The 22,448-nt window shown below is 35.4% G+C and overlaps 1 pseudogene; it reads right to left on the minus strand.

The window, feature by feature from the left end:
* On the minus strand, positions 11,515-20,055 carry TMPRSS11CP (transmembrane serine protease 11C, pseudogene; annotated as a pseudogene).

Here is a 22,448-nt window from a genome sequence, read left to right on the forward strand (position 1 = left end):
ATCTAAAGTCCTGTTTTATTTCTGCCTTCTTTAGATGGAAACGTCACAGGTTTAGACGTATGTCAAATTTTGTCCCTGAGATACTTAATGTGAAAGATCAAGGTTAACTTGTTTTGTGTATTGGTAATCCAACAGAGTGCTAAAACAGAGCAGGCCAAATGCATTCTGAGGGCCACATGTAACTGTAGCACCTCAGCAGATGGTCTGGCTTTCACAACACTCTTCCTAAGTGAAGAAGGATAGTCACAGCCTAATTTTGAATTTAAAAGTCAGTCATGATATTATGATTTAAATAACTTTAAAAAATTTTTCTAAAAACTATTTAGTGTTAGTGTTCTGTCCAACATACAGATGTATAATGATAATGAAGAAAAATGAAAACAACTAGATCCAATTAAAATCCATTGTCTTAAGGAATTAACACATTTCTCAAAAACATTTCTTTGTTTTCCTTTTCAAACACACTGTTGAGCACTCGAACACTGGACAAATATATTCACTTAAAATTATTCTACAACAAATTAAAACTTTAAATTAGAATCAATCCAACTGACTGCATTCAAATTTATTAATCAATCTTACTGATCCAATCCATGCTTAAGTTAGAGTAAAACGGTTAATCAGTTTTTAAATTATTGCCTTGGTTTTTATAATTATCTAAATATTGTAGTTGCTGTTATTACACATTAATGCATAAGGAAACTAGTTATTGAAGAGAATACTGTGTAACTGCTGTAAGTGCATTTATATGTGTTTATGTTAGTATAATATGAATATGTTCTTTTATAGGTTATCTGATCATTTCAAATTGGGACCACTTAGGAACTTTTTCTGTGTTGTTTCTTTAACTTTCATGGTGAGTGCTGGATAGTTATTCATCAATACTGGTAAGACTTACATTGGAATTTATTAAATCACCAGCTTGATTTGTCTAATGCCAACAAGTTTGCTTCTGCAGCAGCCAAAGCAGGTACAATGTTAAGGATAAAAGTGGCTATTTTGACTTAGATGGTGCATTCTTATTGGTTCATTTATTATACTTGTTTATTCTGTCTTAAATATTTATTTATTTAATAAATAGTTACTAAATATTTACTATATACATTATCTTAGCCTTTGCTGGTGATAAAAAGTGAACACAACATCATCCAGCCCCTTTAAGGAGCTTGTTACCACAGAAGGTTAGATAAATGTTTTAGATATATCTTATGTATCTCCTCAGCTTCTCTGTGTACTGGCTGTCTCCTGAATCTTGAGCAGCTTAGACCAGTCCTGTACCTGAGCTCCTTTTTGACTGTCACTATATGTCCAGAATTACCAGCTTCTCTCACTACTTCCAGACTTGAAATATTTATATCCTCTATTTATATAGAGTATCAAGGAAAGAGATTTTCTCACACCTGAGATTTGTGACCATAAAATTTTTACCTACGTCAAAACTAAGTTCTGACTCATCTAGGAGAATTACAAAAAAAAAATTGTGCCTACTATATTAGCTATAATAAGTTCCTTATAAGCAATCAGTCTTGAATAAGATAATTTATTTTTCTGAAGAACTCAAAAGGCTTTGCATATACATCATGTCAGTTAATCTGATCAGGGCCATATGCCTGAAATGAACAAAACAGGATAACCATTGGAAAGACATACAAATATGAAAAGTGTTTGTAAGTGGACCAGCAACCAAAAAACAAAGGAAAGAACATTTATGTAAAAATCCAATTTTAGTGAAGTATATTTTGCTCTTTGTCTTCTATATCTAGGGGAAAAAGATTAGAGCATATCATTCATTATTTGTCCCTTTTCCTCCCATTCCTTCCCTTCCCCTTCCTTCCCTTCCCTTCCCTTCCCCTTCCCTTCCCCTTCCCTTCCCCTTCCTTCCCTTTTCCTCCTTTCATTCCTCTCTTCCTCCCTCCCTCCCTCCCTTTCTTTGTTAATGATGGACTGATTCATTAGGGAAGAGGTTGCAACCGAGCTGAATGGGACTACAGCATATAGCGTAATAAGTGGCTGGGGAATGGGGTATGAGGACAGGGAGGGCATGCTTAGAAGCTGGAGCAGCACATGCAAACACGAAGACAATGTGAGAAAGTTCAAAGGGTATGTGAAAGCAAAAGTGTAAATAATTAGGCAGACTTCAGATCTGGAGAGCCTATATTCCAAGAAAAGGAGTTTAGGCTTTACCTATATAAAGAATGGAGTAATATACTCCTTTCTTTATATATACTTAGTGTATTGTGTAGCATACAGAGAATGCCTTGAAGGGATTTGGGAAATAGTGGGCAATCAAAATTCAGGGAGGTTAATCTATTTGGAAAACCCTTGCTATCAACACAACATGAAAGGTATAAAGCCCTCAAGTGCAGGGTGTGGCTATGAAAGTCGGTAGAGGAAGTAGAGGGCGAATGATGTTTGACGCATTTGAGGAGCTCTAAGTTGTTGAATCTAAGTTGTTGGATGAGTCAACTATATAGATTTTGAAGGTGCTGTCAATACTGATAATATTACTCATAGTTAATATTTATTGGGTACTTACTTTGTGTCGAGCACTTTTCTAAGCATGTTACACGTATTAACACATTTAGACCTTACAACAACCCTAGAAGTCAGTACTATTATTTTCGTCTTATGGTTGAGGAAGGTGAAGCAGAGACATTTACATACCTGATCCATATTAGAGTTTGTCATGGGGGAGCGGTGGCTATCTAGGCCCGAGGTGCAGGGACAAAAGGGTTTACCGTTGTAGGTAAAAGAAAGGCAAATTTGTTAGAGAAGGGAGGAAAATACGTTGCCAGGGAGACAATGGGCAGGATCAGCGGAAGGGAAGCTGACTGCAAAGAAACAAAGGCTTGCTGGAGATTTTATAGGATAGTGTTTATGCTGTATGCTGAAGAGGGCTTTGTGCAGTACTGATAATGCCAAGGTTGCAGTGAGCTAACTTGCAGGTGTCTGGTGATAGTTGGGCATAGGAAGATTGAGAGTTATTTGCACAGGAGGGCTATGTGTCCTTGTAGCTTATCTGCTTTTTCTTTTTGCTTTCCCCTGCTCCCACCAGCCTGACTCCTTTTCCCTAATTAGGACACCACAGAATTGTGTTACATCTCATGCAGTCTGCCTTCAGAGCTCCTGTCTTTAACTACTATGCAATGCTACTTTCTGGTAGCAGTTGGGGTGGAAAGGTCTATGAGCCAGGTGCCATAGTCCTTAGTGAATGAAGGGCCGTGTTAACAGGCCCTTTTAGTTGCAGGAAAGGGAGACTGTTTTAGATAATGGAGTTATCTTTCATGATACACAAGACCTAGAAAGCCAACAGGAGCCCAGGCAGCTCTAAGGATGAGCAACTCCTGCTGATTCATCACCTGAGTTGGTTTTCAATTATAGTATCTTTTTTTTCTTCATAGTGTTTTTCCCATCATCTTCTTGAACCTAACTAGCCAGTTTTTTTTTTTTTTTTTTTGAATTACAAGTCCAACTTCTGAAGGGAAAGAGTGATGATGGTTTAGAAGTGACCCAGGGGAGCAAGAAATATTTTTCATACCTCTTTACTCATGAGAATAAAATAATAGAGGAAGGCAGCTCTTTCAAATAAGAAGAATGTGTATGAAAATGTATTTGGGAAAAAATTTTGTTTCCTGTAAGGAGAGAAGATGGAAGTAGCACAATATCAGAAAAAAAAGAATTTTTTTTTTTTTAGTTTTTGAAAACATGACTTACTTTGTTGAGCAAAGAATGATAGTGTCTACGACAACTGTGAAATGAGTAAAAGGGGAACTTTTAAAATTTAAGTTTAAATGGAAGCATTTGAGGAAGGACTGTGGATGAAGTAGTATGAGGAAATATATACACAAAATTGTTGTGAAGGAGAGCAACAAATTCTAAAAGCCATACAAATTTTTCTAAGCCATGTTAAATTATGCATAGCATTTAACATGGCAGATTCACTTTCATTATTCCAAGAGTGCTCATTATTTGGAGAATCACACTGTAAAACATTGTTGCAATTTTTATTTCAGTATAGATGTGTTAGAGGTAAATGATGGGAAATTATGGTTAAATATGTACGATTTTGGAGATCAGATTAAGGAAATGCATATATAATATAAATCACCAACATATGAAATGAACAGAAAAGCAGAAGCATAATAAGTATGTTTACTTATCAAAATTTATGTTCACTAAATACTAAAAGTAGTAATCTTTTACTTTTAAGTATAATTAACAATATATAAAAAGATTTAAACCAGGAATATAAGAATTATATTTATTTCAACAATTCAATTAACCACTTATTAAGCATTATGTACTACACACTATACTTGTGGATACCAAAAATAAGGCTAGCCAAAGCTCGTATTTGATATTTCCAAACATATTTTATAATTATATTGTATTGTTATGAATTTTTTTTTTCAATCAAGAGTCTTGCTCTGTCGCCCAGGCTGGAGTGCAGTGGCACGATCTCGGCTCACTGCAACCTTCGCCTCCTGGGTTCAAGTGGTTCTTCGGCCTCAGCCTCCCAAGTAGCTGGGACTACAGGTGTGCACCACCATGCACAGCTAATTTTTGTATTTTTAGTAGAGACAGGGTTTCACCATATTGCCCAGGCTGGCTCGAACTCCTGACCTCGTGATCCACCCACCTCGGCCTCCCAAAGTGCTGGGATTACAGGCAGGAGCCACCGCGTGAGGCCGAGATATTCTTATTTACATAAACTTTATGTAGTTTGCTTGTATTAAAAAGAGTATAATTTCAATTTTGTTCTTTTGCTGATAATCTTCTGTTGACACACAGCATTTCCATTTCATGATGCAATTCAATTTTAAAATACAATGTATCTTATTTCCACCTTCTTCAGAATTGGAAATTTGAAAGCTAGATCCCCAATAATTGTATTAATTAAGAATTTATGCCGGGCACGGTGGCTCGCACCTGTAATCCCAGCACTTTGGGAGGCCAAGCTGGGTGGATCACAGGGTGAGCAGTTCAAGATCAGCCTGGCCAACATGGTGAAACCCCGCCTCTACTAAAAATATAAAAATTAGCTGGGCATGGTGGCATGCACCTGTAATCCCAGCTATTCAGGAGGCTGAGGCAGGAGAATCACTTGAACCCAGGAGGTGGAGGTTGCAGTGAGTTGAGATCACACCACTGCACTCCATCCTGGGTGACAGAGTGAGACTCTGTCTCAAAAACAAACAAAAACAGAATTTATGATGCAAATGCATAATAATATAAATAAGATTTTAAAATACAATTTAGAAAAATATGATTATTAGTATTGGTTTCTCTTTAAGTTTCAGTAAGACTGGGCACACATGAAATTGACATCCTGTTAATTTCTATATAACATATTCACTTTTATTATTATTTCTTCTTTTCTTATTTTAGGACTTTTAAAATAAAATAGCTTTTTAAAAATTGAATTTTATAAAAATAAATATTGTATTTTTAAAATATTTAAGGATCAAGATTAAAACAAAGATGAAGCTTGGGCAATATAGGGAGAGCCTATCTCTACAAAAAAATTATTTAAAAATTAGTCAAGCATGGTGGCACCCACCTGTAGTCCAGGTACTCTGGAGGCTAAGGTGGGAGGATCCCTTGAACCCAGGAGGCGAATGTTGCAGCGAGCTGAGATTGAGCCACTCCAGTCTGAGACAGAGCAAGATCCTGTCTCACAAAACAAAAAAATACCGTTGAAGCCTAGAGATGCTGTAGTTATTTAATAAAATCTTTGAAAAATAGTTTTATTCAGGTAAATCACTCACTTCCTTTATAGTTACTTTTATCTGAAATTTTTCCACTAATTGATTTGCTAGGTTGTATAATTTGGAAATTTATTAGCATTATTTTTCAAAGGTAGAAATGATAACAGGAACGGGAAGAATAAAAACCCCTTTCTTCTGCTTATTTCTCTTTATCTATGATGCAGATATCACATACACAAGGCCTTTGTTTTAAGGTGTAATTTCGTAGATAGGGGTGTATATCTATGATATAGTATTACTTGCATAGAATTTTTTCTTTACAAACATCCATAAAAACAAAGAAAAATCTTTTAAAGCAAGAGTCTTCGAATAGTTAAACTTGATTAACTGGCGTTCTACTAACCAGGGTTATGGTTAGTTACCTGAAAATTCACTTGCATTCTGCTGTGAGAAACAGACAAATAAAAAGGAAAAAAAAGTGTAACAAGTGTTTTGTCAAATGTAAGAATATGTCCTAAACTTAGTATAGTGTTTTTTTTTAAATGCTTTTTTGTTTTTGTTTAAATGCTTAAACCACCTGCATTTAACTTTACCATACAATACAAGGAAACTTCCTCATTGGAAAGATGAACTTTAGACAAGATATTCTGGAACAATAATGATTCAATTGGGTTTACTGTATTGGATTTATTGAATTAGAAAAATACACACATGTATTTTAGGGAAAGTATAAGAAAAATGTTTCCCTTAACAGTTCAAGTCAGTGGAAAACTAAATCAACTCATGTATTAAGTTGAATTCCGTAGAGCAGAGCTGGAGATGGGGATTCTTGTGCAAGCGACTTGAGAGTGTGCTTTAAGGTGAAACCTCTAAGAGAGTGAGGAAAGCAAGACAGGGCAGAGGAAGAATCGAAGCAAATGTGTGTTCAGCTGAAGTCTAACCTTCCTTAGCCTGATCCCACATGGGACACTGGGTATAAATGGAACCACAGACTTGCCCCACCATTAGGAAAGGAGGCTGAGCTTTGGCACTCCTTTATCAGTTACCATCTGGCTGGGGCCTATTGTTTATGTGGGGAGAAGTATAACTTCTCAGGTGTTTTTGGATGGTGGCTCCCATAAACTGATGGCATTTCTCAGAAGAGGGTAGCTATGAGCTCTTGGCAGCCAATACTCTCAACAGCTGATGGAAGAGTCTTGATGTCTGAGAAAGGGCCCCTGGTGGGACACCACCAATGTCCATTACAACCAGTATAATCTATTCAAAGAACACTGAGAAATCAATGTTCGAGGGAAACAGCTTTTCTTATAATGGAATTTAAACTATATTTTCATAATGAATATAGTATAGAAGAAAGAACACTTTATCGGGAATTAGGAGTTCCCAGTTCTCTTGTGTAATCCTCATCTCCTAGCTCTCACAGCTATTATCTGTAAAATTTGTAACATAATCTTTAAGTTCTCTTTAGCTTAAAAGTCATTTTCTATTATTCTCTTTTATTATACACAGTTTTCTGCTCATTAACATGATCTATTTTCATTTGTTGGATATATCTTATTTAAAAGAGTCATAAGAACTATCATTTCCAAATTTCACTCATTTATTTAACAAATATTTATTCGAGTTTTGGGCAATGAGAAATAGAATAAGACAGAGCTCATAATCTCATGAAGTTTATGTTTTTTTAATAAGCAAATTTTAAGAAATGTTGTTTAAAATATATGGGAAGGCAAGAAGTTTTCATCTTAGAAAAATAATTAATTTGAGTTTATATTAAAATCTCTACACAGCAAAGAGTTAAAAGGAATATAATAAGGATATCGTTTTTCTGACATTTGAAAATGTATGTAGAGTGGATTTTTTTTAAGTAAGAGGATTCTTGAAAATAAAGAAAGAATAAACTCTTTAGAAAGGTTTTTTTGGTCTTGCATTGTTTACTTGTTGAAAATTCTTTTTGGTTAAAATTATTAAAGAAGCCAGCCTCTTCCACTTAAACTGTGAGATCTTCTGAGAGGATGTAAACAAATATGCCAAAAAGACTCTGAGCAATCTTAAGTGCGTTTTCTAGCAGCATGAACAAAGGCAGTCTGCTCAGCAAAAGAACCCTGAAAAGCAGCCAAAGCAGCAGTCTAAGTAAAAGGGAGAGAACTCAGAGGTCAAAGTGAAAGTGTTAGTGAAAGTAGCAAATCTCTTACTAGATATTGAATTACCCGGTGAGGGAGTCTATAAGCCACAGCTGAGTGCAATCACAAAGATGCCAAAAGAGATGCCAGATAGTTCATGTTAGTAGTCACAAATGCATGTAGTTTAAAAGGCGAAAAGAAACCAGCTGAGAAGTGAAACTTAAGTTTATTAAAATTTTACTAGCATATTGTCAGGATGTATTGATAGAGAAAGTATATTGTCTATTTTGTTTCAACATGCAGCACGTGTAGTGATATTTGTATTCTATTTAACGGACCTATTTAATAAACTTGGTAATAATTAATTTATATTCAGCATATTCAGTTTTCACTATTATTTCAAGGTTTTTAAATTTTAAAATATTTAATTGACAAATAAGGATTTTATGTATTCTGTTTACAACATGATGATTTGATATACCTATACATTGTGTAACGATTACAATCTAATTAATTAACACATTCATCAGAACTCGAGCTGTACATTAGATCCCCAGAACTAGTCATCTTATAACTGTACTCTTTGATTAACATCTCCCTATTTCCCCCAAACCCCAGCCCCTGGCACCGCTTGTTATATTTTTTGAATGAGGTTGACTTTTTTTCAATCATGAAATATTTGTCATTCTGTGTCTAGGTTATTTTACTTAGCATAATGCCCTCCAGGTTTATCTATGTTGACACAAATGGTGGGATTTACTTCTTTTCTATGGCTGAATAATGCTTCGTCTGTGTGTGTGTGTGTGTGTGTGTGTGTGTGTATCACATTTAAAAAAATTCATTCATCCATTAACGGACACTCAGGTTGTTTCCATGTTTTAATTATTGTGAATAAATGCTGTAATCAACACTGGGATGGAGATATCTCATTGAGATACTGATTTCACTCCCTTGGATATATACCCAGAAGTAGGATTGCTAGATCTTATAGTAGATCTGTTTTTAATTTTTTGAGGAATCTCCATACTGTTTTCCATAATGACTGTACCAATTTACCCTCCTACCAACAGTGTACAAGGGTTCCCTTTTCTCCACACACTCACCAATACTTGTCTTTTTTATAAAAGCCATCCTAACAGGTGTGAGGCATTAGCTCATTGAGGTGTTATTTAATTGTGGTTTTAATTTGCACTCTCTGGTGATTAGTGATGTTGAGCATCTTTTCGTGTACGTGTACTTGTTGGCTATTTCCATGTCTTCTTTGGAAAAATATCTATTTAGGTCATTTGCCCATTGTTAAATTGGGTTATTGGGTTTTTTTGGTATTAAATTGTGTGAGTTCCATATATATTTTGGACATATGATTATAATACCCTTAGCAGGTATATGGTTTGGCAATATTTTCTCCCATTTCATAGGTTGTCTTTTCATTTGTTCATTGTTTCTTTTGCTGTGCAGAAGTTTTTCAGTTTGATGCGGTACCACTTGTTTTTGTTTGTTTGTTTGTTTTTGCTTTTGTTGCCTATTCTTTTGGTGTCATATCCAAAAAATCATCTCCAAAACCAATATCAAGGAGCTTTTCCCCCTACATTTTCTTCTAAGAGTTTTGCAGTTTCAGATTTTACGTTTAAGTCTTTAATCCATTTTAAGTTAGTTTTTGCATATGACGTAAGATCAGGATCCAATTTCATTCTTTTGTGTGTGTTTTCATCATGAATTCTTGCCAGATACTTTTTATAGCATAAATGCTGAGATTTGAAGAGTTATGATGCAGGTGCCCAGGTGGGGAGACATTATTAATAGTAATAATGGTGTCTCCCCACTGTTACTGTCTTGGCTTGGAGAGAGGAAAAGGGAATCCATTATTATACAGCACGTCATCATGCAGGTAACTTACAGCCAACTTATGTGGAGGCACATTCTTAAAATGTATTAACGTATCTGTCTTTGTGTTAAATTATTTTCTAAATTAAAAATAAAATATTTTGTATGCTAGATAAAAATAATACTTACCAATTACCCAATGAAAAATGTGCTACATTCTCAATCAATACACTGTTATTCAAAATAATATAATTACACAACAAACAAAGATTTTATATTTTCATGTGTTTTTAACTTGTAAGTAACAGATTTTCAGATTTTGCATACTATGCATATTCTGTTATCTTGGAAAAAACCAACATAGCCTAGTGATTTAAGCTACCAGTACTCCTCTTTACCTATTTTTTTGTGTGCATGTAAACCATATACAATTCCTACAGGAAAAAGAAGCATTTTATTTTTCTGGAAATGTCCCTCCCTTATCCAAAGAGATATCAATCAAAAGTCCATCACAGGAGTGATATCCTGATCCAAACTTGTAATCAGAGGCATCCTCGGGACTTTTTAATTTTTATTTTTACTGTAGCCAGTGGGCAAGATTACTGTATTTTTGTCTGAGACTGGTAGCTTAGCACTAACGATAATCTAAGTCTAGAATCAGTGAACATGTCTTCACCACCTCATAGGGAAGTGTCTGCCTATGAATGAAGACTAAGGAGAGGAGAGTTAAGATGTGACTAGAGAGGAAGAGAGAGACACTGTTTGAGCTCCTGGATCCAGTCTCAGCTATGTCAAAGGATGTAGATCTCTAAATTTATTAGTTAGATGAGCCAATAAATGTCTTCTTTTTACTTAGGCTAGTGTTGATTGAGTTTCTGTCACTTGCAACCCAAGAATCCTGGACATTATGCCTACAGTTTTATTTTGTTTATGCTTAATTTCTAAAACATCAAAAAATAAAAAGTTAAACATCAAAAAGTATCTTATAAGTGTATGATGATATGTCAAATATTTTAAAAGCAATTAAATAATAAAGCTACTGTAATGAGTCATCCATAAAGTTTATGACAAATGTTCCATTTTAGAAGACTATGGAAGGTAGAGCTTTGGTTATAATCATGTCACATAACATAGTATAGATGCTAAAACTGTGAGCTCTGGAATCCAATTGTCTGATTTTGAATCCCAGCTCAGTTCATTATAAATTCTCTGTTTTTTGGCAAGTTACTTGACTTCTTTACCTCAGTTTCCCCAAGGTGACCGTCATCACAGCGCTGGGGGGACAGTTCAACGTAATAATACATGTAAAGTGTGCCTGGCACATAGTAAGGAATCAGCAAATATTATCTGCTATAAGTGCAATTTTGAGGGGGTTTATGAAAAAATTTACATCAAAACGAAGGCAATTGGTGGTAGCTGTAGGATTGTCAGCAATGAAGAAGAGGAGGATAAACTACTGAAGAGACACTTGTGGACTACAATCTGGGAAAGCACTCTGATGAGATCATTTTTAGTTAAATGCCAACTGACTTGCTAATTTGGCATAACAGTGCCTTTATAAACATCCGTACCCTCAGCTAGGATTTCTGTATGGGGAATAAAGTGAGTGAAGTGGAAGCAAAATTTTCTATTATTTATTCTGGTTGATAATTTGTATGATTGAGAAACTTTAGTAGTTTGGAGAAATACAGTACAGTAGTGTTTGCATGGTCTATTCAAGGCACTTATTGAAACATAGCCCATGTGTCTGAGGATTATTTTACTATTAAGTGTGTGTATATTTGAGAACCATTTTCTGGCTTCACTTTCATGCTTGAAGTAGAATGAGAACAAATCAGCAAGCATTGTGACCTATTCAGTGTACTTCAGGGGATTATCATGTTGTTTTGTGTCACTCAAGGTTAGGAAGTCATAAATAGATCAGGGATTAGTGTTGGCACAAGAACCAGAAAGAAAACAGGTAGATACATTTTCCTGGGTAACTTTTATAGGCAATATTATTGCAACTCACTAGACTACAACCTACTAATATGTTGATCCTATGGAATCCATGTGCTTGTCATCAGGGGATGACTCAGAAGGGAGTATGTTGCTAATAGCTACTCTATGATTCTCCAAGAGTCCCGGATCTGCAAATTGGTACAGAAAACTTCCTTAATAAACTGTAATCCATGTTTACTCATATAATTACCATTGATCTGAAAAGGTAAAAGGGAAAATTGTATGTCCTAGTCCATTAGTCTCATTAAACTTTTGTCAAATTATAATAAACAGAAAGTTTTCATAGTTCTAAAATAGTATGTGTTTAAATGCAACATTAAATGTTCATAAGGAGAGGTGACATCTAAGTTAAATATGGTTTGGGAATTACAAACATGTAACAAGCATATAACATTTGAGCTTTAATCTACAGAGAAATTTTGCACTAAAGACCAGTTTTGGATAGGATCCAGTCTCAATAGTATGTCACTTGAGTGTAGACACTAGGCTTGTTTGGAAGAGCACGTTCATTTCTCCAGCTTTCAATACCAGCAGGGAACCTTTAGCAAGGATGCCTTTAGAATCTGTACCAACCAGTGGTCCACCAGAGTCACCCTAGAGAGAACACACACACACACACACACACACACACACACACACACACACATATATATACTTATTATTTTCATCTACTGATCTTTAGGCCATTTTCCCAGAATGATGGAACACCTCGGCATCTGGATTTCCCTTTGCTGTAATTCTTCCTATCATCCTGGATAATTTTCAACATCTGTTGATGACACATGTAATACTTTAGCTCACAGTCTCTTGGCTTCCTTGACTCTGATCATTTTATTGAATCTTTCCATGTTACTCCTTGTTATCACCTGGAACTGCTCCACTTCTGAAACACCATTATTCAGTATTACGATTGAGTGCATCTACCCCTTAAGTTTTTTTGTTCCACTTATTCCACTTTTTACTTTGTGTCTGCTCTTCAGTCTCACTAAGAATGTGAATCCCTGGACTCCTCTATGAATGTATTAGCTCATGTCCTCCTGCTCTTCTTTCTTTATGCCAGCTATATTTCATAATGCACCATACCACTATTCTGTCAACAGCTTCTCAGCTCCCTATCTTTCTCCCCATCATAGCCTGGGCCAAACCAGACACTGTGAAGCCATGTTACAAATTTACATCCTCAAACCAACACCTCTAAGCAATATTTACGTGTCTTTAGCCAGCTTCTTTTCTTTTCTTTTTTTTTTTCCAGATGACTGTTAGCATTTTTTTTTAACAATGAAGTATTTTTTAAAAACTTTTAGGTTGAGGGGCACACATGCACATTTGTTATATAGGTGAATTGCGTGTCATGGGGGTTTGGGGTCTAGGTTCTTTCATCACCCAGGTAACTAGCATAGTACCTGACATGCAGTTTTTCAATCCTTACCTTCCTCCCACCTTTCACCCTCAAGTAGGCTCTGGTGTCTGTTGTTCCTTTCTTTGTGTCCATATGCACTCAATGTCAGCTCCCACTTATAAGTGAGAACATGCGTTATTTGGTTTTCTGCTCCTGTATTAGTTTGCTTAGGATGATTAACCAGCTCCCTTTCTAATTTTTCAGGGCGGCCATTCCAAACTCTTGTGATTTCACAATTTTTGAAAATCCCGTTCCCTCATTCTGAATCTAGTGTATTACTTTTAAATTCTCAGAGTAAGTGGAGAGTAACAGTTGAGAATCCCTTCATTCCTTGTCTTGCCTTTTTGGCTTCTCAGATCACTTAAGTCAATCCACATCTGTGTCTACTTTTCTTCTTCTCAGACAGATAAATGTATTTCATCTTTTAAAAAATTGAGATCTGATCTACAAATAAACATTGTATAGATTTAAGGTGTACAATGTGATGTTTTGATATACATATTCATTGTGAAATGATTCCCCCAATCAAGGTAATTAACCTATTCATAACCTCACATATTTACTTTTTTTTGGTGAGAACACTTAAGATCTCTTTGAGAAAATTTTAAGTATACAATACATTATTATTAATGGTAATCACCATGCTGTACATTAGATATCTAGAACTTATAACTGAAAGTTTGTACTCCTTGATCAACATCCCTTTACTTTCCCCAACAACTCCCCAAGGCTCCATCCGTGGCAACTATTGTTATACTATGTTTCAATGAGTTTGATTTTTTTTTAGATTCTAGGTATAAGTGAATGTATGGATTATTTTTCTTTCTGTGTCTGGCTTATTTTACTTAGCATAGTGTCCTCTAAGTTTATCATTGTTGTTGAAAATGACAGGATTTTTTTTTCTTTTATATGGCTGAATAATGCTCGTGTGTGTGTGTGTATCACAATTTTTTAATCTACTCATTCGTAGATGGACACTTAGTTTCCATATCTTGGCTATTGAGGATAAAGCTAGAATGAACATAGGAGTGTAAATATTTCTTTAAAATCCTGTTTACAATTCTTTTGGATAAATACTTAGAAGTGTGATTGCTGGATGCCATAAAAATATGATAATTCTATTTTTAGTGTTTTTGAAGACAATTCATACTTTTTTCCATAATGGCTGTACCAATTTACATTCCCACCAATGGTGTACTCTTACCAGAACTTTTTGTTAATAGTCATCCTAACATGTGCAAGGTATAACCTCATTATGGTTTTAATTTATGCTTTCCTAGTGCTTAGTGATGTTGAGCATCTTTTCATGTACCTGTCAGCCATTTGCATGTCTTCATTGGAAAAATGTCTACTCAGTTTATTTGTTCATTTTAAAATTAGGCTATTTTGTGTTTTCTTTTTAGCATTGAGTTGTGTGAGTACCCAAGAGTTCCTACAAAGAGGCTTGATGGAAGAGACTTAATAATGTTTACAGAATGTACCAAGAGGTCCATCAGGGTGGGTCAGTTTGGAAAATACAGAAGAAAACTCACATTAATAGAAAGTTCAAATACCTATGTAGTAGGAAGGAGACTGAGTGAAAAACACATGCAAGAGATTAGTTTTGAATAGTGAAAGAAACTTGTTTATCCCAAGCCCAGAGGGTGAGAATGAGTACAAACATAAATGTATCAAGGAGAAAGGAAATTAAAGGACTTCTCATATGATTGCTTCCATTTTTTCTCTGGTTAGTAGGAGAAAATATAATATGCTAAAGAAGATAAGGACATGGTGAGGTACGTAGGTAAAGAATATAATGAAAGTCCGGCATAGCACTATAAAAATGCATTAATAATTGTACAGTGTGTTAAGGACCCACATGTGATTATGTAACTCCAGTTTACAAGAAGGCATGATTTCTTCTAGCTGTTCTCAGCAGCTTGCATATAACAGCAAATACAGTTGATAGATCGTTCTGTGGTTGATGATTATTTGAATGGGTGTCGGGTAAGTCAAGGATGAAGTCACCGAGAGTGCTGTCAATAGAGTGGCTGAAATAATAAAACAAGGGTCCTAGGCTGTTTAAGGTTAGGAGAGAGTCATGAGGGTGGGGGGTTGATGGACTGAGAAGAAATTAAGAGGAACAGAGTTTTAAGCTCTTCATGATACTGAAGAATGGGTTTAGTGGGACAGTTGCAAAGCTAGAAATTTGTAATTAGAGATGATGATTATGTATTGCAAATACTTGTTTGCATGTCTGCTAGCTCCTAGAGTACAGGAATATGCTGTGTTCATTTTAACTTCCCTGAACATAGCACCGTATCTGGCACATAGGTAGTAGTCAATAAATAATCACTACATGAAAGATTGCATGAATAAAATAAAGGTTTTCTTGGATTTATCACTGATTCTACCTGCTTAGAAACTTTTGTTAGCTCTGGGACTATTGTTCATAAACAGCAACAATTGTTAAAAGCACATTAAGCATAAGGAAAAACATCTTAGTGTAGAGTTCAGAGCATAGGCCCTAGAGCCCAATTTCCTGCGTTTAAATCTCAGTTCTTTTGCCGCTTAATAGCTCTGTGAGTTTAGACAAATTACTTGATCTTTTTGTCTCAATTTCCTCATCTAGAAATAGGGCTTACAATAGCACAAATATACTGCAGAGGACTGAGGTAACTATAATAAATTAATATTTGTAAAGTGCTGAAAACAGTGCTTGGCACATGGGAATACTATATAAGAGTTGTTAAATCAATAAAATATTTAGGATGTTGGAATCACATTGTGAAAGCTCCATGATTGTTAATTTTGCTATTAGACACAGCTGAATGTTTCTCAGTGAAATGACAATCATACTAAAGTCACCAGTAAACCATCTCATCTCTTCATTGCTTATTCTAAATTGAGTTTCTTTCCCACTCCTGCTCACAGCTTTATACAGCAAGGTAATTTAGCACTTTAGGACTTTAATGAGACCTATTTGATATCATTGTAATTCTAATTAGATACTTTGGCTAGGAAACATACTTAAGCCTTTAAAAATTGTCAATCCCTTGAGAAAACTGAACTGATTATTTGGAAATTTAAAACTACAAGAATAAAGTTCTTGAAATTAGAATAAACAGACTTACCTGGCAGGCATCCACACGTGGCTCCAGGAACCCGGCACACAACATTCCAGATGTGATGACTCTGCCATCTGCCTCCCCATTGTTGCAGGTCCTATTATCTATAATCTTCACTAATCCCTTGTGGAGTACATTAGAAGTTGTTCGTAAAGGAAGAAAATTGTATAATTTTTATTGATGTCACTATTAATCTTTCTGGCTAGGCTATTAGTATCTAACTTTAACACTATGTACAATTTCTAAATCAAATCAGTGTAAAGTATAATTAAGCTTTTAGCTGTAGTAACAAAAAAGCAAGTAATGTTTATAAACATACCAAGCTGTTGCTGAAAAATGACCATTTTTAGAAATATTTAGTGTGTACATCTATATGTAATAAGATTTTTTCTTTTGAATTGTTTTGAAATTTTATATGTATTACATGTATTAATATGTAATAATATGTTTATTAATGTATTAATATGTTGTATATAAGTAAAAAAATAACATGAGCATATTTTGAATAACTCAATAAGCTATGTTTTAGAAGATAACTCATGGAAACTACATCTTATTTCTTATTCTGTACAGAAAAGATGTCTTAGAAAACAAAATGAATCAGGTGCTGTGGCTCACGCCTGTAATCCCAGCACTTTGGGAGGCCGAGGTGGGCGGATCACCTGAGATCAGGAGTTCGAGATCAGCCTGACCAACATGGTGAAACCCTGTCTCTATTAAAAACACAAAAATTAGCCAAGTGTTGTGGTTCATGCCTGCAGTTCCAGCTACTTGGTAGGCTGAGGCAGGAGAATCACTTGAACCTGAGAGGCGGAGGTTGCAGGGAGCCGAGATCATGCCATTGCACTCCAGCCTGGGCAACAGAGTGAGACTCTGTCTCGAAAAAAACAAAAACAAAACAAAAACAAAAAAAAAAACCAACCAACCAAACAAACAAAAACAAAAGAAAACAAAATGAAAAACTCATATTGCAGGAGCATACATTTTATGATTATTTAAAAATTTTTAAGCTAAATTTTTACTGTAATTCTGAATCTTGAAATTAATTTTAGGTTTATTTTTCTGCTTTCAAACTGCATTTACAGACATTAATAGCCACTAAGTGTTCACATTATTAGGGTCATGGGGATGCATATATTTAAATCTTTGCTCAAGTATCACCTTGTCACCTCATTAAAAATGCTGAATCCCCTACAGTCCCTATTTTTTTCTATGGCACTTAACTGCATAAAATTTGCTATAACTTACTTATTTCTTTTAATATACTTACATCCTTCATTTCATGAAATTGTCCATTTTCCTTTGTTAAGGATGAAAGCTTTTTCCTTTTTTTTTTTTTAACTAAGAAAATAGGCAGGAATTATCTGCCCATTTCATTCATTAACGTATCCAAACCACCTAGAACAATCCCTGAACAAAGGTGGTAATTATTTTCCATTAGTAAATGAATAAATGAATGAAGGAAATGAATTACTTATTCAAATAATATATTTCTTGAAAAACTGCCATCTTAAGAGGAATTATAGTAAGCAGCTCTATGAAGTTATAGTTTCTGCATGAATGTTGTTGAGGATAATTTTCAATCCATTCCACATTGTACTCTTAAAAATGATCCAGAGAAAGTATTTTTCAGTTTAGGTGTAATTCTGAGTATTTTACTTTTTAACTCCTGAAATTCAAGCCATATAACGGAGTCAGGTGAGGAACTCACCATCAGACTTTAAATGATCCCCATGCAGTAACCACTGCTTCTGAATTGTATAGGAATATATAATTAACATCTGGAAGACATGCTTTTTGGATGTTGCTTGTATATAACACTGGTGAAGATAGATGCACAACAGCAATGTCATTATCGTGTGCAGGGTAATGGTAGTTTTCTTGAATTATAACATTCTTGATATTTCACTGTGTTTGTGGGTTACTTAAAATAACATTCCATTCTTTGGGATCATGGACCCTAAAAAATAGATTTATTAATTAAAAGTCCTGTGTATTGTACTTGTAGGAATTAATGTCTTACAATTTTAAAAACAATTACGTATGTTTTGAGTTCCCATGATACTTGTAAGCATACAAAAATAAAGTTGTGTATAAGAGAAAAATAAAAATAATGATAACATGAGCAGATTTTGAATAATGCAATGTTATGTTTAGAAGATAACCCATGAAAACTACATTTTATTTCTTATTCTGTATAGAAAAGACTGAAGGGGATTTAGAAAAATAAATGATGACAATATAGGATAATAAGATTAAACAAAAAGTGGGCAAGGGTATGGGAAAGTGAACTAAGGGAAATTATGGAAATAGTCTAAATCTTCTTTTTGACCATTAAAATCTATAAAAAGAAATGTATTTCTGACTTATTATTATTTGTTAATCCAGGATTTTTATATTAAGTGCTGAAAAATAGTGCTGCTGAAACATTTTCAAACTCTCTACTAAAGCAACATAAGAAGCAAGCATGATTTTGAAGAGAGCTGAGCAGGTTTGGGAGAGATTTTTTTGCTTAAAAAAGACCCAATGAGGGCTATATAAAATCAATGGAAGTTAATGAAAAATATCATCAAACAAAAGGGTAAACAAGTCTTAGTGAAAAAGGGCAAACTATTGGTGCAATAATATACCCTTTAAAGACATCATCATTTCAAATAGGGCTGTACAAATATAGAAAGATGTAGGATGAATTCAAAACCTATGACTAAATAATTTAAACCAAACGCAATAATGATGAGAAAGAAAGAAGATCCATGTTCAATTGGGGATTTATAGTTTCTTTATAAAGATGAAGTACAGTGACTCTAGTGTAGTGGTTCTCAATGGGGGACAATTTCATCCCCCACATTTAGCAATGTCTGGAGACATTTTGGTTGTCAATACTGAGGGGTGCTACTAATGTTAGGAGTCAGGTATGCCACTAAATATCCTCCAATGCACAGGACAACTTTAACAAAGAATTACTTATACAGTCTAAACTGTCTATACTGCCATTTTTGACAAATCCTGCTTCAGCCTATGTCTGTCATTATGTTGATAATTAACTGAGTAATTTTGAGGCCATACCTCACAGTATTAAACAGTTGGATGTGTAGTTGTGTGGGTGTATTATTGAAAGACAGTAGGCTTTTAAGGACTTGAGTGACTTTGAGGCCTTACCTTATGAAGCAGTGAGCAGCAGTGATAAGCCAGCTGTTACTAAGCCATGTGGCTCCGCGTCGGTAGACATTGTTCTGTGGAAGGCTAGCTTGCCAGGGCCATTCTCCTTCCTCAGCATCCAGACCCTCTGCTATTCTGTTGCCAGAGGGAGTTATTGTGCATTGTCCACAACCTGCTCAAAATACAGTTCTGCTTATGCACGTATATTGGTATAGTAGAACCTACCACAGAGAATCTATCCCATAAAAGGAACTCAAGAAATATTTGTAGAAATGAAGTCCATATTGGGCCAGGTGCGGTGGCTCCCGCCTGTGTAATGCCAGCATTTTGGGAGGCCAAGGTGGGCAGATCACAAGGTTAGGAGATCGAGACCATCCTGGTCAACATGGTGAAAGCCAGTCTCTACTAAAAATACAAAAATTAGCTGGGTGTGGTGGTGTGTGCTTGTAATCCCAGCTACTCAGGAGGCTGAGGCAAGAGAATCACTTGAACCAGGGAGTCAGAGGTTGCAGTGAGCCGAGATTACACCACTGCACTCCAGCCTGGCAACAGAGCAAGACTCTGTCTCAAAAAAAAAAAAAAAAAAAAAAAAGAAAAAAGAAATGAAGTCCATATTGTATTATCCATGAGCTAGCTTTTGTTTTTGTATTTCTTTAAGCTTTTGCTTTTCTATTTCTTTAAGAAAATATCAGGAAGATATTTTGAAATAAAAATGATCACTTGATTACAAAGCCCTTTTCTGTAATGGGTATATTGCAAAGCATTTGTACAAATTTGTATAATTTGTATAATAAAAATATTTGCCATAATCAATGCGTGGGCATAAATTAATGCAGTGGCTTTCAATCAGGACAATTTTGTACACCACCTCTCCAGGAGAGATATATTTGGCAATTCCTGTGTTAGAGCAGGTAGTTAGGTAGACATGAACAGAGCAGGAGAGCACCCCCGCAACCAGGAATGTCAGGTGACCATCAGGTGATGGTGAGGTGGTTGTTAAACTGTCTCTCTAAAGTAATAATTGGTCACAGCCAGTGCCAGGGAAAGGCAGTCACCCAATAGGTAGAAGACACCTGATGTGGGTGATCAGCAGCTTCCCAATAAGATCTCAGGAGTTGGGTAATTGGGCTCAAGCATGAGCACTAAGAGGGAAAACGGTGGAGTTTAACTGGTATATGATCTTCCTTTAGGAAATCTCAACTGGTAAAAGAAAAACGCCTCAAATGAGCATGCATACAACTTTTGTAAACACACTGTGCATGCAGCCCATCCCAAGTGCTGGCAGGCCACTGTACCTGTGGACAGCTCACCCCAAGGGAAGAATCAGGGGATAAGTAAAGCAGATCCCGGAAGCATGTCAACATGAAAAATCCCAAGTCAAATGTCAAACTGTGCACTTGATCTCTCAAGTCACTTGTTTAGCCCTCTTCCAAGTATACTTTACTTCCTTTTGTTCCTGCTCTAAAACTTTTAAATCAACTTTCAGTTCAGCTCTAAAATAATTTCTCTGGTCTCTCATTCTGCCTTATGCCCCTTCAGTTGAATTCTTTTTTCTGAGGAGGCAAGAATTGAGGTTGCTGCAGACCCATACAGATTGGTTGCTGGTAACACTTGGAGACAATTTTGATTGTCACAATTGTGGAGTGAGAAGCCTACTGGTATCTAGTGGGTAAAGGCCAGGGATACTGTTAAGTATTTTGTAATACACAGGACAGCCTCTGAAACAATTATCTGGCCCCACATGTCAATAGTGTTAAAGTTGAGAAACCGTGGGTTAGGTAAAAGTACTTGTTACTGAGAATGAGAATATTTAAATAAATTGGAAAGGTTAGATGGTCAATTGCTTCATAGGGATGTTAATTATATGTGGCTAGATGTACACTGAGATACTCTTTCCTGAGGGTGAAAGGGCATTAGAAGATAAGGGAGAATAATGTATATTTTTACAATTTTTTATTAAAATTTTTTTCATGTAAACTTTAAAAAAGGCAACTGGTCCTCTGAAGTCCTTGAGTTTGTATATTGCTTCTAATTCTAGGTTATTCTCTTGTTGCAAACCAAACTTCATGTTGTGAAGACATCCTTTTCATAAAAATCACTTGGCTAAACTGTGGCCTTTGTGGTTGCTTTTTCTAAATGAGCCAGCATTCACACTAACTTGTTGAATGTAACTCCCTTTTCCTTTTCTTCCCACTCCTTTATCATAGACAACCATGATATAATGGTTGTCCCTTACCATGGACAACCAGAGGTATAATGGTTTCTTCTTATCCTCTCTTCTGTCTGGACAACTCCTAAAGGAAGTTGGCTTTTACTCAGCTTCCTTCGGAAAAATATAAAAACAAAGATGATCCTCTGTGGGTGAGGAGAACCTCGCCTCTGTGACTCTGCTTCCATGTTTCTCCTCTTACTCAGAACTCTAATCTAATTTGTATTCATGCATTAACTTTCATTCTAAATTCTCATTTAATCATATAATTGCATGTTAGTCTTTCAGCTGCCACCTCTGCAGTTATTACCTTATTACCTCTGCTGAAGTCTTACATGTCATCTAATAGCTTTGTTATGTCAAAAGAGATCATATGAAAAATTTCAAGGACTTAAGGACTATAATGAAGATTGCTGGCTGATACTTTCAGAAACATAGGCAAATCTACTGGTTTTGTACAGCCTTCCAACTCTTGTAACTTCTACTCGTTTATTACTGCATTTTAATGCACTTTATGTTGCATGTCAAGGCTCTGTTTTTAATGCTGTTTGATTTTCTTTACCCCTCCTTTTTAAATTTAAAGTATAAAGAAGCTAAATAGGCCAAGTCAAATTCAGAATACTGGTATGGATGGTTGTTTAGTATTCCAGCTCTATCCAGCTGGAAAGAGCTGATCTCTTTCTTACCACTGCTTTTATTCCTGTCTTGACTATCTCTCTTCTATGAACCTGACAAATCTCAATTGTGGATTTGGATCATATTGGTACTGAAGTTTTTCATTAGAATAATTGACTTTAAGATATCTTATTTTATTGAGGATTGTTTGCTCATACACTGTAAGAGAGAAAAATAATCCAGTACAGGTTTCCATTTAAGTTTTGCCCAGGTTTCTCAGAAATAGCTATACTGTGACTGAGG

Source organism: Homo sapiens, chromosome 4, assembly GCF_000001405.40.
Source record: "Homo sapiens chromosome 4, GRCh38.p14 Primary Assembly".
Lineage (NCBI taxonomy): Eukaryota > Metazoa > Chordata > Mammalia > Primates > Hominidae > Homo > Homo sapiens.